At 49.1% G+C, this 20,026-nt stretch overlaps 1 protein-coding gene and 1 long non-coding RNA gene across 10 annotated transcripts in view, besides 5 other annotated features; one reads left to right on the forward strand and one right to left on the reverse strand.

Moving 5' to 3' along the window:
- YWHAQ (tyrosine 3-monooxygenase/tryptophan 5-monooxygenase activation protein theta) overlaps positions 1-67 on the reverse strand; it is a 47,031-nt gene extending 46,964 nt beyond the window's left edge. The window contains exon 1 of the mRNA NM_006826.4: positions 11-67. The gene's annotated coding sequence lies outside the window, so the exon portion shown is untranslated. The remainder of the gene's footprint in view (positions 1-10) is intronic.
- Positions 69-168: a silencer, noted in NCBI's record as "silent region_11138". NCBI's record gives its function as "represses an Ori minimal core promoter by ATAC-STARR-seq in GM12878 lymphoblastoid cells {active_cell/tissue: GM12878}" and the evidence as "EXISTENCE:reporter gene assay evidence [ECO:0000049][PMID:35858748]".
- Positions 219-388: a silencer, noted in NCBI's record as "silent region_11139". NCBI's record gives its function as "represses an Ori minimal core promoter by ATAC-STARR-seq in GM12878 lymphoblastoid cells {active_cell/tissue: GM12878}" and the evidence as "EXISTENCE:reporter gene assay evidence [ECO:0000049][PMID:35858748]".
- The window catches only part of LOC105373418 (uncharacterized), a 74,555-nt gene continuing 62,343 nt past the window's right edge, over positions 7,815-20,026 (forward strand). For 3 of the 9 annotated variants that reach the window (NR_187863.1, NR_187865.1, NR_187867.1), the window contains exons 1-2: positions 7,815-7,991; positions 10,434-10,527. This is a non-coding gene — a long non-coding RNA (uncharacterized LOC105373418). Of the gene's footprint in view, positions 7,992-8,121; positions 8,325-10,433; positions 10,528-17,921; positions 18,510-20,026 lie in introns of those variants that run through there. The other 6 variants (NR_187864.1, NR_187869.1, NR_187862.1 and 3 more) reach the window with 6 other exon arrangements.
- Positions 10,843-10,892: an enhancer, noted in NCBI's record as "active region_15284". NCBI's record gives its function as "activates an Ori minimal core promoter by ATAC-STARR-seq in GM12878 lymphoblastoid cells {active_cell/tissue: GM12878}" and the evidence as "EXISTENCE:reporter gene assay evidence [ECO:0000049][PMID:35858748]".
- Positions 18,141-18,650: an enhancer, noted in NCBI's record as "H3K4me1 hESC enhancer chr2:9789200-9789709 (GRCh37/hg19 assembly coordinates)". NCBI's record gives its function as "activates a minimal SCP1, AML or CMV promoter by ChIP-STARR-seq in primed H9 embryonic stem cells {active_cell/tissue: H9 hESC(primed)}" and the evidence as "EXISTENCE:reporter gene assay evidence [ECO:0000049][PMID:30033119]".
- Positions 19,382-19,963: an enhancer, noted in NCBI's record as "NANOG hESC enhancer chr2:9790441-9791022 (GRCh37/hg19 assembly coordinates)". NCBI's record gives its function as "activates a minimal SCP1, AML or CMV promoter by ChIP-STARR-seq in naive H9 embryonic stem cells {active_cell/tissue: H9 hESC(naive)}" and the evidence as "EXISTENCE:reporter gene assay evidence [ECO:0000049][PMID:30033119]".

Below are 20,026 nucleotides of genomic sequence, written 5' to 3' on the forward strand. Positions count from 1 at the left end.
AGGCGCTCACCTTCACGTCTCCGCGGCCGCGACGCGAGTCCCACCACTTTGATCTGCTTTTGGCTTTAGCTGAGGACCCTCCCGTGTCAGCCTACCCCGGGGCCGAGGGGCGGTCCACCGCCCAATGATGCGCCGAGCTTCTCCCGAGAGTCCCGCCCCCAGCGCGCCGCTGGCCAATGAGGACCGAGCGCGCGGAAGGGGGCGAGGGGGGCGGAGCGGGAGGGAACGCGGAGGCTAGGAGGGTGGGTCGGTACGGGGAAGTTCGGTTGGCCGGCAGGCTGCGGCTTCGGCCACGGGGTTTCCTCCAATTAGATCCAGGGTAAAAGGACGTCACTGTTGCCATGGCGATGCCGTTACCAACTCCCCTCAGCCTCCCCGCCACCCCGGCACTTCTGGGTGCGGCACGAGACCCAGAGGCGCGCACGACCTCCTAGGCGGCGGCTGCGTCTCCCGCTGCGGATGGTGCATTGCATCTCACGGGCTCTGGCCGAGGCTGGACTTCGGAGGGTGACATATTCAGCTGTTTTAGAGCACGGGGGCCTTTCTTTCCTCCACCTTTCTATCCGTGACAAAGGTTTGGATCCCAAGACACTAAACCCAGACCTTAATGACGTTGCCATTAGGGCTCCGAATTAAGCAAACCGCATCCCCATTAAAGAAGAATTGATTCTGGAGACGGTGTCTTCAGTATGGCATTTACATGATAAATTCAAGTTTTCAGATGGGCATCCTAAAACAAAAAATTCCCTTGTGAAAAGGTAGGTCCCAGAAGATCCAGGGGAGTTTCTGTGACAATGCCAAGTATTGTGGTTTTCTTTAAAATGAGAAATGACATTAAGCACAATTTGCAGGAAAACACCTATTACTACCCCTTCCCACCCCCGCAAAAAAAAACCCTGCCCATAACATCTCTCCCCGCAAAAAAAAAGCAATTTTTATGTATCTTTTAGGCTTTCCAGGTTATGCACCTAAATACATCATTTTTCACATCGTTGTCACATGTGCACACGCTTTTGTTTCTGGTATTATTTGTGAGAGGTCACTTGAAAAGCTGAAATCCTCTCCCTGGATGTTGATTTCTGATTTTCTCCTCCTGGGGAACACCCTGCTGAAGCGAGAAAGATTCCCCCAGGCCCCTCCCATTCAGGGTCATCCCTGGCAGCTCCCTTTCCTCTTAAACCACTCCTGTCTCTCCTTGCACTTCCCCAGTTCCCTAACTCCATCCAGGTAGGGTGGCTGCCCTGCCCGTCTGGCGCGTGGTCCCTGTGCCATCTTAAGATGAGAATTGCCCTCTGGGTTCACGCTGCTATGATCCCGATTCCAGCAGGTCTAAGGAGAATGGATCATAAAGAATTTCCCATTCTGAGTGGAGACTGGAGCAAATCCGGAGAATCTCTAGAATGGGAGATTTGAGAGTGCAGACAGATGGGAGGAGAAGGTGCCGACTTTCCAGAAATTCAGACTCCCTCTTGACTGCCCCTCCCTGTCCTGACTTGTGAAGGTTGCTTTGTGCTTTGACAGACAGGAGCGGCCTGGATTGGAAAGGGCCTGTGTCTTAATGCAGAAATGCCTTACTATGTTCCAGCCTTCTAATGGAGGGCCCTGCTGTTATTTCTGGAATCCCTGGGGCCCCGCTACAGACACATGAGTGTTTATGGCCCTGTGGGCTGGGGTGGAGCTGGACACCGAGAAATCCCAATGGAAAGAATTTGCATGTGGAAGGTCAGATAAAATGCCTTCTGTATGACCAGTGAATTTCAAGCTCACCAAAATTAGAGGCAACCCGGGCAAGGGGAGAAGCCAGTGGAGGTGGATGGGGGATAGAGACCCAGGAGAGGAAATTGTCAGGGGATGGAACCTCTGTGGTAGAGAGGGACTACCAGAAGGAGCAAGCACACTAAATTCTTTGTCAGAAAGTCTAGGCTGTGCTGTGGTCTCCCCCAGTGACCTTGGGCAAGTTTTTGCTGCTTTCTGTACCTTAGTCTCTGAAATTTCTGCTTTCATTCAATCAAATATTTATTGAACACCAACTCATCTAGTTGCAATCATCTGGAATCATGGGTAAAAACTGCTTCCAACCAATAACACAGTATAAAATTGCATTTTAGGAAGATTCAGAGGACCCTCTACATAGCTAAAGGCTTCTGTGCCTGAAAGAACTCGGGTTGGAGAGAAACAAGGCTCTGGGAACTTGAAGTCCCTGGACACAGAAAGAGCTAACCTGTGTTGAGTGATTGCATATGTCAAGCACTATTTTAAGTCTTTTGCAAGAATTAACTTATCCAATCTGCTTAATGCAACTACAAAGTAGGTGTTATTATACTCACTATCTCTATTTCACAGACAAGGAAATTAAGGCACAGGGTGGTCAAGCATGACGTACAGGGCCACACAGCTAGAGAGCGGCAGAACCTTGGATATGGACCCCATGCAGTTTGGGTGCCAAAGCCCATCTTTTTAACCACTGCTGAGGCTGCCTCACCAAGTCTCCCCAGATCTCTGCTAGATGCTGTAGAGATCCTAGGATGGATCAGACCAGCCTCTGTCTTCTAGGAGCTTCACCCTAATAAATGTGAAACCTGTTAAGCATCACATCCAACATACTGGGAAGAAGTGCAAGGAACAGACAGCTAGCAAAGGGAGTACTGAGAAATTATTACTTTATTTATGAAGTTCTTATTATTTTTTCTAAGTTACCTGGTATGAAGAAGCTCCTGGAACAAAAAGGAGCACATTAACATGGAGCCAGAAGACCCTAAATTCAGCCCTGCTATTTATATGTGATTTGACCTTGGATACCTTGATCTTCTCTGAAACTCAATTCTCTCTACCTGTAATCTATAAAAATAATCCCAGCTGGGCACAGTGGCTCATGTCTGTAATCCCAACACTTTGGGAGGTCGGGGTGGGTGGATTGCTTGAGCCCAAGAGTTCCAGACCAGTGTAGGCAACATGTCAAAAACCTGTCTCTACAAAAAACATAAAAATTAGCTGGGTGTGATGGCGTATGCGTGTAGTCCCAGCTACCCGGGAGGCTGAACATGGGAGGATCGCCTGAGGCCAGAAGGTCGAGGCTGGCATGAGCCATGATTGCACCACTGCACTCCAGCCTAGGCAACAGAGTGAGACCCTGTCTCAAAAATCATCATCATCATCGCTACATCAAAGAGTTGTTTGGAGATTAGATGAGCTGTCACATAGGGAAATGCTGAGCATATAGCAAGTGTTCCATAAGTAGTGTTTTCTTCTTTCCTTCTTTCCCTCTGCTTGGAGGTGGGGTACGGCGCTGGCAGGATGCTATCCTGCTGCAAGGAGCCTTAGAACTTTATTAAATGTTTAGTGAAAGCTTATCTCTTGAATCATTGTTGTAATTAGTGCAGTTAATGGTCTACAGAATGGCTACATTCCATGTACATTTCAGAATGAATGAGTCCTTCAGGTTAAGCTCACTCTCATAAATCGTTTCAGTGATTTATTTGCTCAGACCAGTGGATCACCAGAAACTTCTTCCTTTCCTGCCATATGGCAGCTAGTTTAGTGACAAGCAAACATCTGAGTGGGACTTTTCACCCAAACTCTTCATATAATTATTATTGGTGCTTCTGTGCAGTGGGCAGAGAAAGTTGCCCCCCAACTCTGGCCTGTGGGTGCTAAATGAGGTTTCGTAGAGTCACACACAGGCAGGGAAATCAAGGGAGCCTGGTCAAGAAAGTTTTTCTACATATTCCTTAGTTTGAAACTTGATTCACTTTGTTCAGGGTGATGGTTAGTTGCATGTGTCAACTTGGTGGGTCACAATGCCCAGATACTTAGTCAAACACTATTCTGGGTGTTTCTTTGAGGGTGTAACATTTAAATCGGTGGGCTTTGTTGTTGGTGGTGTTTTTTTTGGTTTTGTTTTTTGAGACAGAGTCTCGCTCTGTCACCCAGGCTGGAGTGCAGTGGTGTGATCTTGGCTCACTGCAGCCTCCACCTCCCTGGTTCAAGCGATTCTCCTGCCTCAGCCTCCCGAGTGGCTGGAATTATAGGCGTGAACCACCACACCTGGATAATTTTTGTATTTTTAGTAGAGACAGGGTTTCATCACGTTGGCCAGGCTGGTCTTGAACTCCTGACCTCAAGTGATCCACCTGCCTCGGCCTCCCAAAGTGCTAGGATTACAGGCATGGGCCACTGTGCCTGGCCTAAATCGGTAGACTTTGAATAAGCAGTTTGCACTCCCTAATGTGGGTGGGCCTCATCAAATCAGAAACCTGAAAAGAACACACAAAGAGCATCCTTATTTGAGCAAGAGGGAATTCTCCAGCAGACTGCCTTCAGACTCCATCCGAAGCGCCGGCCCTTCCTGGGTCCCCCATAGATGCCTTTAGAACTAGAGAGGGAACGTGAGCTCTCCTGGGTCTACAGCCTGCTGGCCTGCAGGTTTTGAACTTGCCAGCATCCATAACTGTGTGAGCAGATTCCTTATAATAAATCTCTCTCTCTACACACGTACACATACATATAAATACATGTGTGTATTCTGTTGAATGCATTTAGTAACCTTTTTTTTTTTTACCCAACAAATGATATAGATATCTTTTTTTTTTTTTTTTAAATGGAGCCTCACTCTGTTGCCCAGGCTGGAGTGCAGTGGCATCATCTCGGCTCACTGCAACCTTTACTTCCCGGGTTCAAGCAATTCTTCTGCCTCAGCCTCCTAAGTAGCTGGGACTACAGGCACATGCCACCACGCCTGGCTAATTTTTGTATTTTTGGTAGAGATGGGGTTTCACCATGTTGGTCAGGCTGGTCTTGAACCCCTGACCTCAGGTGATCTGCCCACCTTGACTTCCCAAAGTGGCTGGGAATACAGGCGTTAGCCACCACGCCTGGCCAGATATGGATATCTTTTAATAGCTTTTAATGTATGTCTGCAACATATCAGTCTCTCTTCTCTCCCTTACCAGACCATGAGCCTCTTGAGGGTAAGGGTTTGTTTGTTTGATTGTTTGTTTGTTATCTTGTATTCGGTGAACGCTCAACAGCTGGGTAAACTTAGGTATTATAGTTCCCACTGGCTGACTAAACTGATGCTCAGAGAGGTTCAATTACCTATCCCAATTGGTAAACTTTAGAGTAAAGACTTAAAAACAGGTCTGTCTGATTTTTATCTTCTACTACAACAAACAAGAATCTGTGCTACCTGCAATGGAAGACAGAAGCTCCAGTGTTTGCTGGCCTGGGAACAATGTTTAGTTATTTGAGGTTGGTGGGTGGATGAATATGTATCTACCCCTGAGTCAGCAACTGATTTTATTTTCATACGGAAGGCTCTGTTTTTACGCTCGACACATCCAGCAGCGAAAGAGGTGCCTTCTTGTCCCTTGTCTGTTCCCTTTAATTGTCTACATGGTTCCCCTCCTCTCCCACTGCCACCATCAGACTGCTACCTCCCAGTGGGAGAAGTTACATCTGACCTCCATGTCCCTGGTGACTTTACTGGGCCACGGAAGGCATTCAGTGAAGGCTTGTTTGGAGAGTGGATCCAGACCATTCAGGACGCATTTCCAATAATGCTGACCATTGGCATTGTGTGCTTAGTATGTGCCCAACCATATGCAGAGTCACTAGAATAGTAAAGTCACAGAAGGAAAGCACGCAAGGCAGAGCTGTGTCTTCAGCAGATGTTCCGTAGATACAGGATTGCATCTGCTCGGAAGAATACACCCAGAACCTTCAAGCCAGAACAGAAGGTCCCTGAGCCATCAGAAAGCTGTCGCAAGATCACACACTGATGCTCACACATGCAAGACGTAGAGGAGTGTTCTCCAGGCCCTCACTCAGACTCAATTTCCTGCTAATTCATTCCACAAAATATTTAAAGATCTTCAACGTGCCAGATGCTGTCCTAAGGGCTGGGGTTTCCAGCATGATTAAGATACAGTCTGTGCTTAGAAGGAGCTTGACCGAGAGCACAGAGGTGGGTGCCTAACCTGGAGGTCAGCAAAGGCAGGGAAGATCCCCTTTCTCTTCAGTTGCAAGATGTTCAGTTACCAGGTTTCCTGGTCCACAGCAGTCTAGAAGTGGTTACTTAGAAGGTGGGAGCAGAATTAGTCCCGACACTTCATCTGAAATCTACTCCACATTTCCGCAGATGATTTTGAGTAGAGTAACAGCTAGGGCTTTGAGGAGCCCATATCTATGGTCTATGCAAGGCAATCAGTGGACAAGGCAGAGACAACAAACCCATAAAGAGCTCATGAAAAACCTGGAGAGGCCAGGGCCAGTTAGCATCGGGGTACATGGCCCATATATCCCAGGCAGGCCCTAGGTACGCAGCAATTAGCCTTAATCATCACAAAAAAAATGGTCATTATATTTCATATTTTTTGCTTCATATTATATGTAGACATATACCTTCTCTCTCTGTCTCTCTGGACATATATGAGAGTTGGGATTTTTTTAAGTTTTGGTACATAATCATCTCCCTAATTATGACTCATCTCCAGACAATTCGAGATAGTTGAAGAGATGAATGACCACAAAACAGCTAGAGAACAATGCACACAGGAGTTGATTGTGTGCTTCTCACAATAAGTGCTATGGGAGTTGAGAGAAGGGAAACATGAGTGTGGGCTCAGGCACCAGAAGGCTATGGAGTGAAAGGGACCCCTGTGGGGACAGCAACTGAGGTCATGCCAGTCTGTGTTTCCATCCTTCCTGCTGCCCAGTGGAGGGGCCCCTGGGAAAGGGGAGGAAGGCACAGGTGTTTCTGTTTGTGCTGGAATTGCTTTTGGACAGGGCTGACTCCCGAAAAGGTGGATCTGGATACAATGTCGGAATGTGACCAGCCAGGAGAGCTAGGCAGCCATGGTGCAGAGGACTCTTCTGCCTCTCCCCCTCCTGCCCTAACCAGCTCAGCACCAAGCACATGGGCACTTTAAAAGCACAGGCCATGCTGGGAGACTCACTGTGCTACCCTCAACCCCTTCAGCAGGAGCAGCTCTGTGAAAAGTGCAAGTGTGACCTTCATTTTGCTTTGTGACTTAAAACCCTTCACCGTTACTCAGCTGCAGCTCAGCATGGTGGTTGGACTCAGGAGCCAGATGACCTGGGTTCAAATCATGGCTGCACTACTCACAAGATATGTGACTTTGGGCAGGTCAGCTGGCCGCTCTGTGCCTCAGTTTCCCCATTTATAAAATGGGGATGATGGTAGTAAGAGTCCTACCCCGCAGGGTTGTTAGGAAGCTCCACGGAGGAAGGCTGGTGAGGAGCTCCCCCACTCCTCTCCTGTCTTCTCTCCTGGCTCCATTCCTTCTCTCTGCTTCAGCCTCTTCTGGGCTTTGCTCTGCTGCCATCTTCCCCTGGCTACCTGCTCATCTCTCAGGTCTTCAAGGAAATGGCACTTTCTCCATGGGGTGTTCTAGGGCTCTGAGCCCCTCTCAGCTAGGTGAGCTCCCCCATCCTGGATTCCCCAAGCAGGTAGTTACTTGATGTTGCTTCCCCTGGTCCACTTGTCCAATAGCTGAAGGTATCTCAGAGAGGGCGTGCTACGTCCATGTGATTTGCCTGTGTAGCCCCAGTGCCTAGCAGAGTGCTTGGCAGATACGCTGGGTGCCAAGAAAGCAATGGCCAAATGCACGAATTCACAAAGGATGGAAGGAGGAGTCCATAGGCCAGTGCACAGTGCCCAAAGGACAGAGCTGAGGCTGCTGGTCAGGACAGCTTCAGGCTCTGGCCAGGCTCCAGCACACAGCTGGAGGCACCCGTGACTCTAGCTGGGAGGGGCTGGAAGATCCAGGCAGCCCCTGACCGCCCTCCTTCCCCTTAGTCATGTCCAGTTCTGTAAACAAATTCTCAACTGCACCAGAAGGCCTGACAGTTAAGAGAACCCAGTGAAGAAACCTTTTGCAGAGAGAGAAAAGAACCCTTTTGAATGTGATCAATCACGCTGATTTATTTGGATGATTTCTCTTCTGGATTTCCTTAAACCAGGGAAAACCCAGGTAAGATATTTGGGGCCCTCATTCATCTAGACAAAATACATAAAAGTTTGTTATATCAAAAGTCACCTCTGGAAAAAAAAGGAGTTTTGCCAACCCACTCAGCTATTAATATGAGATGCTCTCTGCCTAGGGACAGCAATTGCTATAATTGATGCAAACGATCCCAGCCACACTCCCTGATCCTGGTTCTGAAACTCAGAGATGCAGCTGACCAGACTGATGTGGCCAGCCTCACTCTGAAGGATCCTGCAGCAGACAAATTGCTGGAATGTGTTCAGACGGAATCCAGCTGCTACAACCGTCACACAAACTTCCTGAAATAGAGGACAAAAGGTAGCAACTTGTCGCTTCTTGAGCCAAGAGATTTAGGACATGAGACCAAATGAGAGAGATTAAAATAAAAAACGCAAGAAGTTAGTGAAATGAGGATTTAGCTCACCAGGCCAAAGCAGGCAGTCTTGGGTCTTTGCTGGACAGTTGTAGCTGCCATATAAGCTGTCCCTGCCAGGGCTGGGATCTGGAGGCTGATGCTGAAACCTCGGCCTGGAAATGATGCTGATGAAGCAGGGCTCTGACAGCCCCTGCACTCTCAGAGGTCTGGGCAGCACAGATGAAATTATCACTCCAAGATCCTCAAAGCATCCAGGAAAAAAGCACATCTAGGAACATTAGCTGAATTTTGTAGAACACTAGTAAGCACCTAGTAGATGCTCAGAAAATGCATATTTTCCTTCCCTTTCCTGAATTCCAGGGGCCTTGCTTGGTCTGTATTAATTACTATATCAGAGTCCTTATTTGCAAGCGAAAGAAACCAACTCTAGTGGATTTGAATATAAGACTATTACTTCTTACTGATTGTGAGGAAGGCTGGTGAAGCAGGCTTATCGAATGAGCAGGCGCTGGGAGGGTGTGCAGCTAGAACCAATGGCCAAAATCACCCTGCAGACCTCTCCCAGGGAGATCCCTGTTGCTTCTGCCACTGAACAGCAGACATCAGACCATGCTGCACTGACTCCGTGGCACCAGGTCCTGGAACCTGGACGCCGACACGGTCCAGGACCCTCTACTCTCATTTGAAATCCATGACACTAAGCCTTGCTGCTGCCCCACAAAGGAATTCTCCACAGTCCCTGCTGCTTTGGGTCATTCACTCCAGATTCAAAATCCTGGCTGTGGTGTCTGGCCAGGTCCGAGTCACGTGCCACGCCAAGGTTCAAGATAAGCTAGGGGGAGTAAGTATCTGGAATGTACACCTTTCAAAGTGAAAAGTGGGCTCCACTTCCCACTAAGGTTCATAAAGCGGGGAATTCTTCCAACAAAGGAAGGGGCTTCAGAGGCTGGGCAGCCTGAAAATAGCACATCCCCTGCAGTTATACTTGGGTTTCCAGTCTACGTGGCAGAAAAAAAAAAGCAAAAGCCATGCATGGACAGTGTGCAAAAGCTGGAGCCTGGGAAAAGCCTTAGCCTGGATCTCATCTTTCTCTCTCTGGAAAAGGTTGGGGGAGCTTTGCTGTCATTGATGTCCCTACCTGGAAGGCTTTTCCCTCCCCAGACTTGCCCTCCTCCGTGACCCACAAAGATCTCTCTCTTGTTGAAGTTGCGATTCTACCTCTAGATTGCATCACACTTTTTAGAAATGAATTACTTCATTTATGTAGGTCTTGTCAAGCTCCCCCAGGATGAGGACAAAACTCGTATTCATTAAACAGTTAATAAACATTCACTGAGTGTCTGCTAGGCCTTGGGGAGACCTAGGGGACAAAGACATGGCCTGTGCCTTTGAGAAGAAGGTCACATCGGGTGCCAAGTGTGTGGAGGTGTGAAGGCTTTGCAGAGGAGATGACTTATTTAAATGGGTCTTAAGATGTTCCCAGCCATTGGTAGAGGGAGAGGTGCATCCCAGAGAGAAGGAACAGCATGTACAGGGCAAGGAGTCATGAGAAGGCGTGGCGATTTTGGAACAGATTTGTTGGGATATGGTGTGCATGTGGGCAGCAGGCAAGGAGGTGGGAGGTGAGGTTGTTGCTGAAGATTGGGACCACACGGCTGGGCACGGTGGCTCACGCTTGTAATCCCAGCACTTTGGGAGGCCGAGGTGGGTGGATCACGACGTCAGGAGTTCGAGACCAGCCTGGCCAAGATGGTGAAACCCCCATCTCTACTAAAAATACAAGAATTAGCCGGGCGTGGTCGTGGGTGCCTGTAATCCCAGCTACTTGGAAGGCTGAGGCAGGAGAATCACTTGAACTTGGGAGGCGGAGGTTGCAGTGAGCTGAGATCACGCCACTGCACTCCAACCTGGGCGAAGAGCGAGACTCCGTCTCAAACAAAACAAAACAAAAGATTGGGACCACATTCCTTTTACCCCAATCTTTAAAACCTTCTGAGTTTTTTTTTAACCCATTGAGTTTTACATTTTGTTTTATTTTCTTATTTTTGTAGAGACAGAGGTCTTGCTATGTTGCCCAGGCTGGTCTCAAGCTCCTGGCCTCAAGCGATTCTCCTTCCTCAGCCTCCAAAAGTGCTGGGATTACAGGTATGAGTCACTGCGCCTGGCCTGAAACCACATTCTTCGGACCCTTGAGTATCTCCCTGAGGAAAAGACATTGTATCCTGAGACCATTAGAAATTATCAGATACTTTTTAAATTGATTTTTTATTGTGATAACATACATAACATAAAATTTACCATGTAAACCCTTTTTAAGTGTACAGTCCAGTGGCACTAAATGCATTCAAAATGCTGTGCAGCCAGCACCACCATCCATCTCCAGAACTCTTTCATCTTGTAAAACTGAAACTGCACCCATTTAACACTAACCTCCGATGCTACCCTCCCCCTAGTTCCTGGCAACTGCCACCATCCTACTTTCTGTCTCTATCATCAATGCTTTTAAGCCCGAGGGGCACCTGATGGGATTTTTAAGAAAAGTCCCCCTAGCTACATTGTAAAGGATAGGTTGGAGGATTTGGGGTAGGAGGCGGCTGCAGAGAACTTCAGAGGTGATGATGACAGTGGCAGTGGGGTGGGGGGGTGTGCAGGAGGGTGGTGAGAGAGATTGCAGAGATATTGATTAGATGCGGAAGTCAAGAGGCATCCAAGGTCACTCCAAGGCATCTTTTTATTTTTATTTTTTTTTATGTTTTTGAGACAGAGTCTCACTCTGTTGCCCAGGCTGGAGTGCAGTGGCGTGATCTGGGCTCACTGCCACCTCCGCCTCCTGGGTTCAAGCAATTCTCCTGCCTCAGCCTCCTGAGTAGCTGGGACTACAGGCACGTGCCACCATGCCCAGCTAATTTTTGTATTTTTAGTAGAGACAGGATTTCGACATCTTGGCCAGACTGGTTTTGAACTCCTGGCCTCAAGTGATCTGCCCGCCTTGGCCTCCCAAAATGCTGGGATTACAGACGTGAGCCACTGCACTCAGCCTGAGCCGTCTTTTTCTATTTTATTTTCACAATGTTAACCCCCACACCCATTCTTGTGTGAGACAGAGAGGCGATTATGATCGTACAGGAGTTTTACATAATCCTCTGATCCTATCAATTCATAAATATTTCAAAATTACAGCCTATTTAGATGGTGAAGGACATCCTCCCATATCATTCCCGTAAGATGTGTGAGAGGACTTTAGGGCAAATTTGACCATTGCATGCTCTAATCCATTTTATAAAAGAGAAATCATTTACAAAAGTAGTTTATGGTCATAAAATGAGCAATGACAATTCAGAACAGATCCTGTGCTAAGAAAAATTATCTGAAGCTTGCATTCAAAAGACAGCTGACTAAACACAGGATCTGAAGTGATCAGAAGACCTGGGTTCCAGTCCAGTCAGCCACGAACTCGGTGACCCTGGGAGAGCGGCTTAACTTCTTTGCATCTCTGTTTCCTCTTTAGCACAGCGGTTGCTGTGAGGATTAAATGAGATGCTTTGTGTAAAGCCCTGTGCAGCGTGTGACCCACAGTGAGTGCTCAGTTCATAGTGGTTGCTGCTGTCTGTTATGATAACACTGATCATCATCATTATCTCCAAAGACTCATTCAGCCCTGACGCCCTGCGCTTTGCAGTTGTTCTTTTTTTTTTTTTTTTTTTTTTTTTTGAGATGGAGTCTCACTCTGTCCCCCAGGCTGGAGTGCAGTGGTGCGATCTCCGCTCACTGCAAGCTCCGCCTCCCGGGTTCATGCCATTCTCTTTCCTCAGGCTCCTGAGTAGCTGGGATTACAGGCAACTGCCACCATGCCCGACTAATTTTTCATATTTTTAGTAGAGACGGCGTTTCACTGTGTTAGCCAGGATGGTCTCAATCTCCTGACCTCGTGATCCGCCCGCTTCTGCCTCCCAAAGTGCTGGGATTGCAGGAGTGAGCCACTGCGCCCGGCTAATTTTTTTGTATTTTCAGTAGAGACGAGGTTTCACCATGTTAGCCAGGATGGTCTCGATCTCCTGACCTCGTGATCCGCCCGCCTCGGCCTCCCAAAGTGCTGGGATTGCAGGCGTGAGCCACTGTGCCCGGCGTGCAGTTGTTCTTGAGAGGGAGATGGAACTGTCCATTCCTGGTTGTTCTGAAGAGAGTGTCCCACCCTCCCTGCGGGGCCTCCCCTGTCCCTGTAGACTCAGCCTCAGCTTTTCTGGAGCGTGACATTTCCGCCAGCCTCATTCTCTTCCTTTCTCACTTCTCCCAACTTACTCTGGTCCCAGATCACCCTGCCTAGTCTTCCTTAGCAGCTGTGCGGTTTCCTTTTCTACCCCCGTGATTGCCCAAATCTCCTCTGAATCTGGGCGCACCGGAGGTAGAGAAGGGGTGAGACCCTCTCCTCTCTCCTCTCTCAGGCCATAGACCCATCCCTGAAGCTCCTCTGCCCCCCTCTCTGAGCCTCAGAGCCTTCCTTGCCACGCGGAGCTCCCCTTTGGGTGCCCTCTTGAAAGCTGTGTTCTGGGTACAGAATCTTGTCTAGAGCCTCAGATAATGGGACTTTCCCTGTGGGAGGCCAGGCTGAGGGACACCACTGAGTTCTGAGGGGGCTGCTGGGCTGTGATTAGGTGCAGGGCTGACATCTGTATTTGAAACACAGAGTGGGCCAACGTGAAGTCTGTTGATTGAGAAGAGACACAGGTGCTAGAGTGAAGGTGCGTGGATTGGAGGCATCTTGGAAACCCACACAAGAGGAAACGGCTCTAGCCCGGACTGTTCCCACAGGGCTAGGCTCTCCCTACCCAAGAGAGAACCCATGTGTGTTTCTTCTTCGCAGTGTGTAGTTTAAAATCATTGGCTTTGTAGGCAACAATCCACAGGGCTGGGCACGTACCCAATTGACTGATTGGTAGGAGAGTCAAATATTTGTTGATGGAAAAAGCTTCAAGGTGCGTTTAGAAATTGCTCATGAAGATAAACATCTATTTGGAAGTTACTTTGGTTGTGAGGCTTGAGATTTTATATCACCGTATATTTTTAGGGTCCTTTACATTTTTCAGTGTTGTTGAAAAGCAATTTATTGTTCACCATGTGCCATGGTAGTTCCCCAACTTGAAGGCAGAGACTGTGTTTCTCCCAGCACCTAACAGAGTGTTGAATGCATAGTAGATATTCAACAAATATTAATTTCAAGCATCTTTTGTAGCACAAATTATTTAATCTAGATCATTAACCTCAGAAATTCCAACTTAGTCACCTGCCAGGCCTAATTCCTCGTTTCAAGTAAGTGAGACACCGCTTGGGGCTGCCTGCCATCAGTGCATGCTGTATGTGCGTGGCTGCCTGGATTCCAGTGTGGCCAACTGATGATGATTGAAAAGTGAGTATCCAGCAGGCCTTGCAGGGACCAATGTCTCATCAGAGACCCTGTTCACACATGCTCTTCACTTGGTGACCGGTTTTACAGGTTTCTGATGATAGCAAATATTTGTCTGTATTTCCTGGTGCGGAATTCTAGGCTCCTGACAGCTTTTGTGAAAAAGCATAGGCAGGAAAACCACTGTGTACTCCAGAGTTCTTCGAAAGTGAGTTCATCGCTGGCCAGAGTTTCAAGTACAGAGTCATTCTCTTGGTTAGCGTAGAAGTAACTGCGCTACAGTAACTGACCAACAAAAGTGCCTTCCAGTTCAAAGTCTTGTTTAGTCTCACTTTGAGCCCTCCGTCACTTGGATTAGGGGCCTCCCTGTCATTGCTGGAAGGAACTTCAGGAAGCATCTCTTCCAGGTCTTTACCTAAGGGCCGATGTGGACGGTGTGTGCCCTGGACAGGTGTGTGGGTTGTGAACATACTGAAATAGGTGCTCCCATGAGTAAAGAGCTGCTGTCCTCAAGCATCGTGCATGCCCTCCTGTCGCTCCCATTCTTTCCTGGAACCCTATAAACTCTCCACACCCTGATCTAGCAATGAAAGGGTCAATGCCTGGCCCAGCCCTGGGGGTGGTGGGTGGGGGCCTCCAGCTCTGCTGCTGCTGGGACTCTGCCACGTTGGGTGGGAGGTGAGGTATTTTGACTGTCACTCCTGGCAGTGGGGTTCAGACTCAGTGCACTGCAGAGCTGCATTGATGGGTTCCCAGCGAGAAAAGCTGTGCGAGGACGTGGCTGCTTCAGGAGAGTGAAGTGCTGCTCGGGCTAATCCTGAGGAGGCTGAGAAACTCAACACATGGCACGTGAGTAGTGTTTGTGGCTCTACCTACAGAGAGCCTAGAGGTTCTGGGAGACATAAGTGGAAGGAGAGGCAGATGATGTCACTCCCGCATATGCACCCCTTCCATGGCTTTTCACCTGCCCAGGATAATTAAACCCCTGGGCGTGGCATCAGGCCCCCAGTCCTGGTCCTTGCCCGCCGCTCCACTTTCTCTGGCAGTCCCCCTGTTCACCAGCCCCTCTTCCGCCCTCCTCCCTCCCTGCATCATGCTCTTCCCTCTACCTGGAATGTCCCACTCTTTGTTACTGACAAGGGTCCACTCATCCTTTAAGACCAAGGTTCTCGGCCGGGCGCGGTGGCTCATGCCTGTAATCCCAGCACTTTGGGAGGCCGAGGCGGGTGGATCATGAGGTCAGGAGATCGAGATCATCCTGGCTAACACAGTGAAACCCCGTCTCTACTAAAATTACAAAAAATTAGCCAGGCATGGTGGTGGGCGCCTGTAGTCCCAGCTACTTGGGAGGCTGAGGCAGGAGAACGGCGTGAACCTGGGAGGCGGAGCTTGCAGTGAGCTGAGATGGCGCCACTGCACTCCAGCCTGGGCGACAGAGCGAGACTCCATCTCAAAAAAAAACAACAAAAAAAACCAAGGTTCTCCTCTTCTAAATTTTCTCCGACTCTTTTCCAAACAGCCCTGACCCTAGGGCCACCACTGCCCACCACTGTGCTTTTGCAAGGTTCAGGAGACACCCAGAGAAGAGGCGCGGCAGAGGCAGCCCACCAAGGGTGCAGGCTGTTCTTCAAGCTCCCTCCCCTGTTCAGCGAGGGCCGGGACAGGGCACCATCTGCACAGTGTCTGCCCTCGCCCTGCCCCTTGCTCTCTCATTGCATGCTGGCACCTGGTGGACCTCAGCATTGCATTTCCTGCCGTCCCTTGCAACCATGCGTTTCCTTCTGTGCTTCCTCCCACTAGCCCATGAGCTCTCCCAAGGCAGGGGCTGTGATGTTGGTTTCTGTATCCCAAGCAGCTGTGATAAGTAATGTGGATCCCATGGTAAGCTGCCCACAAATGTTTTTTTTAAAGGAGAAAGAGAGCTAGAGGGGAGGAGAGGGAATGGGTGGAGGAGAACTCCCTATAATCTGTCTACTCCTCCGGCTCTCCTGGTCCTCTGGGGCAGTGCTGCTTTAATGGATAATGGCAGCAATGGAGGAAGAAGAGGAAGGGAGGGCTTGGTGTGTCCTGGCTGTAAAGAGGGCTCCTCACCAGGCTCTCGCCAGCGCCCAGCCCCCGTAGAGCCAGCCTCGTGTTTAGTTGCAGGGAGAACGTATCTCTGGGGAGTGTTTGGGGAAGGGATCTCCCGGATATAGGACAGCCTGGATTCTTCAGGGGACCAAAGCCCCCCCAGATAGGATGTCCGGCACATCCTCGGGCCTTCTCAGAGGAATAAGGTGCTGTGAGGCATGTTAGAACCATACCCATCTTCCTGAGCATGGTCCCAGGCTGGGGCCACAATGAGGAACAAGGAGTCCCTGCCCTTGGGGAGTCCCAGTTCAGTGGGGATAAAAATCAATTACAGTACAATTCTGTACACAAAGGGAAAAAAGTCTCCACAGTGCTGAGGCAGCCCCAGAGAAGAAGAGATCAATGCTGTTTGGGAATGGAAACTCACTCATAATGTGCAGGAAGGGAGGTCAGGAGTAAATGACACCTACCTTGGGTTTTAAAGAATGAATAAGGGTTAGGCAAGCCAGTGCAGGATGGAAGGGAATTTGAGGCAGGAGAAACGGCATATGCAAAGACATGAAAAGCAGCATGCGCAGGAAGATACAAACAGGGAGATAATGCTGGGAGCTTCAAGTACCAGGGAGGGAAAGTGAGAGATGGGGCAGAGGAGGTGGGTGGGAGTGACAACACAAAAAATGGTAAATGGAGCCCAGAGGGATCTAGAATTTACCTGTTACCTTCATTCAATTTACAATCACTTATTAAGCTCCTTCTATATGCGAGATATTTTTCTTCGAATTCTCCCAGCAATCCTTATTCCCCCTTGTCACCAAGGAATGGGCACACCTTGGACACCACATGTCATCTGGACCCACTTTATAGAAGGGGAAACTGCAGCTCAGACTAGGTAAATGTGGTATCTGAGAGCTCCCAGTTGGTTAATGGCAGAACCAAGACTTGAATCCAGATCTCTCAATTTCCCAGTCCTGGCTCTGGTTCCAGACCCTTGCACTATGTGGTAAAGCAGGCCCTTCAGAACTGAAACCATTTCTTATTTATTGAGACCTGAAGTGGTATGTGAAATGATACTCAGGTCAAAGGAATCCAGGATCTCTTTTGAAGCTCTGAAAATCAAAGAGACTCATGATTTGGTAAAGAGACTTCCATCACACGTGCATAAGCAGAATTCTCTGCTTGAAAAAAAAGATGGGTTTGGGGGCTTGTAAGCACCTCCCTTTATGTTCCTGTGGTTGCCCACTTCTGAGGCTGGCTTGTCAGTTGCTCAATAGTGGTTCCAGTTTGCAAACGGTTCACCTTCAGGGTATTGATCCCTCTCTAGTTCTCTCATTGATGTCCCTGTCATTGAGTGAGCTGTTTCAGCAGTACTCCTGTTCTTTTTCAAAGTCACCTTCAGATGCCACTGATTCCATCAGCATTCTTTGCGAGCTGCGGCCTTATTGGTTTGCAAGGACGGCAAATATTGGGAGTTTGGAAACAGCATGCTCCTGGCTTTCCCGGGGAGGGCTGGGCCCTGCAACCAGGTGGGCTTTGCTGAGACAGGAATGAGTGGCAGAAAATGACTGATTGTCTCTGGGTTACAGCCTCAACCGCTAGGGATCCCTTGGCTTTTTGGGTGCAAGTCCTCCCTGCAGGACATACAGACTGCATCTTTCTGCCTCCCTACCCCACCCCGTACCCGCTGAGTGCTATCTTCATAACCGGGAGGCTGAGCTGGAAGTCAGCAGGCAGCCCCTCTGGCCAGGCAGTGCAGGATGCGATGTTCCAAACCACACCCAGATCTGCACCCTGAGGCCCCTCGTTGTGTGGGGTAGTGGGCAATGCCCAGGTCTGGTGTCAGACAGGCAAGGTTCACACCTCAATGCTGCCATTTCCAGTTATGTGACCTTGGGAAGGTTACCTGCTTTTCCTGAGCCTTTATTATTAAAAATTTATTATGAAATTTCATTTCAAAATGCACTAACATGGTAGCCACTAAGCACACGTGGCTATTGAACGCTTGAAACGTGATGAGTCTGCATTGAGATGTGCCGCGAGTATAACACACCTGGATTTCCTCCCTCCCCAGGTGCAACAGTGACCCGTGACGCAGTAGGGAGGGCTGTTTTCCATGCCCAGTGAGGCCTGCTCAGCTCCCATTAGGCCTTTATGGATGGCCTGCCTCCCAGCTGGTACCTGGTCCCGTCACAGTCCCAGGACTCTAGACCTCGAGGCAGCCAGGTGGGTGCTACAGATGGTGACCTCTCGGTGGCACAGCCTGGCGCTGCAGCAGAATGCAGGGTTGGGGGCGGGGTGAAGAATGGAGTCTGGATTGTGCCAAAACAGGAGTTTCTATGTCTGGTCCTGCCACCGACTGCACCTGCATTGCTGCGTGACCTTGACAGCTACTCCTTCCACACCTGAACGTCCTCATCTGGAAACTGGACTTGCCTCCTAGGGTTCCTGCAAATATAAAATGAGCTAATGCCTTTGAGGTGTTTGCTATTGTCCTGGCACTTGGCAAACACATGATAAATATTAGCAATCACTTGCGAGGGGGTGTGGGGTTCGGGGGAGCTTTGCCCCTCCTCCCCCTCTCCAGGGCTGAGCAGCAGTGAAGAGCTTTCTGCATAAGAGAGAGCAAGAGAGATAAATAAACCCACATCTTCCTCTGAAAGAGGCTCCTGCTGGCTGGCTGCTCACCTGACCAAGTCTCCCTCCCAGCCTGTCTTCACTCTTTGGTCCACCCTCAAGGGAACCAGGTCACACAGCCTCAGCACTTCCTGCATGCCAGTCTCTAGCTGGTGCCTTCCACTGGCTGAACCCCATAAGAAACTAGAGGGCGGCCGGGTGCCGTGGTTCATTCCTGTAATCCCAGCGCTTTGGGAGGCCAAGAGTTCAAGTCCAGCCTGGGCAACATGGTGAAACTCTGTCTCTACAAAAAATACAAAAATTAGCAGGGTGTGCTGGTGCTGAGCTTGGCAGGTGGAGGTTGCAGTGAGCTGAGATGGTGCCACTGCACTCCAGCCTGGGCAACAGAGCGAGACTCCGCCTCAAAAAAAAGGAAAAGAAAAAGAAAAAAAAAAAAAAGAAAGAAACCAGGGCCAGGCACGGTGGCTCACACCTGTAATCCCAGCACTTTGGGAGGCCCAGGTGGGTGGATCATCTGAGGTCAGGAGTTCGAGACCAGCCTGGCCAACATGGTGAAACCCCATCTCTACTAAAAATACAAAAAGTAACTGGGCATGGTGGTGCGCACCTGTAGTCCCAATTACTCGGGAAGCTGAGGCAGGTGAATCACTTGAACCTGGGAGATGGAGGTTGCAGTGAGTTGAGATCACACCACTGCACTCCAGCCCAGGAGAGAGAGTGAGACTCCATCTCAAAAAAAAAAAAAAGAAAGAAAGAAAGAAAGAAACTAGAGGGCAAGGGATGCATTGATGTAGCTGGTATGCCCCAGCCTCTCTGGGCGTAGTGCAGGGTGAAGAAGGGTGGGGACAGCACTGGAGGGGCATAGCACCTGTCCTCTGATCCAGATGACAGAGAAAGAAGTCACAGTCTAAGGGTCAGAAAACCTGAGCCCTACCCCCAGGGTTTCCCCTGACTGATTGCGTGAATGTGGGCAAGCCCCTGGTCTGCTCTGAGCCTTCGTTTTCCCATCTAGAAAATGACAAAGTTGGAGCAGTGACATCCAAGTTCCCTCCAAACCTAACACACTGTCTTTTACTGACACTGCTGCAGATGAAGTAACAAGGCAAAACTATGTTTGCCATTAGCTCTCAGGGAAATGCAAATGAAACCTACAATGAGACACCACTTCACACCCACTAGGATGCATCAAAAGACAGCTACATATCAAAAAGACAGATCATAATGTGTTGATGAGGATGTGGAGGCACTGGAGCCCTTGTGTGCTGCTGGTGAGAATGTTAACTGGGGCAGACACTTAACAGTGGCTGGAAAATTGTCTAGCAGTTCCTCAAAAGGCTAAACAGAGTTACCACATGACCCTGCCATTCCACCGCTGCATATATTTCCAAGAGAAATGAAAACATATGTACACACAAAAACTTGCACACAAATGCTCATAGCAGCATCCATAATGCATTCCAGATAAACAAGATCGACAGGATGGAATGCTATTAGACAACAAAGGAAATAAAATGCAACATGCATAAACCTTGAAGACATTAT

The sequence above is a fragment of the Homo sapiens genome, chromosome 2 (genome assembly GCF_000001405.40).
Source record: "Homo sapiens chromosome 2, GRCh38.p14 Primary Assembly".
In the NCBI taxonomy this organism is placed as follows: domain Eukaryota; kingdom Metazoa; phylum Chordata; class Mammalia; order Primates; family Hominidae; genus Homo; species Homo sapiens.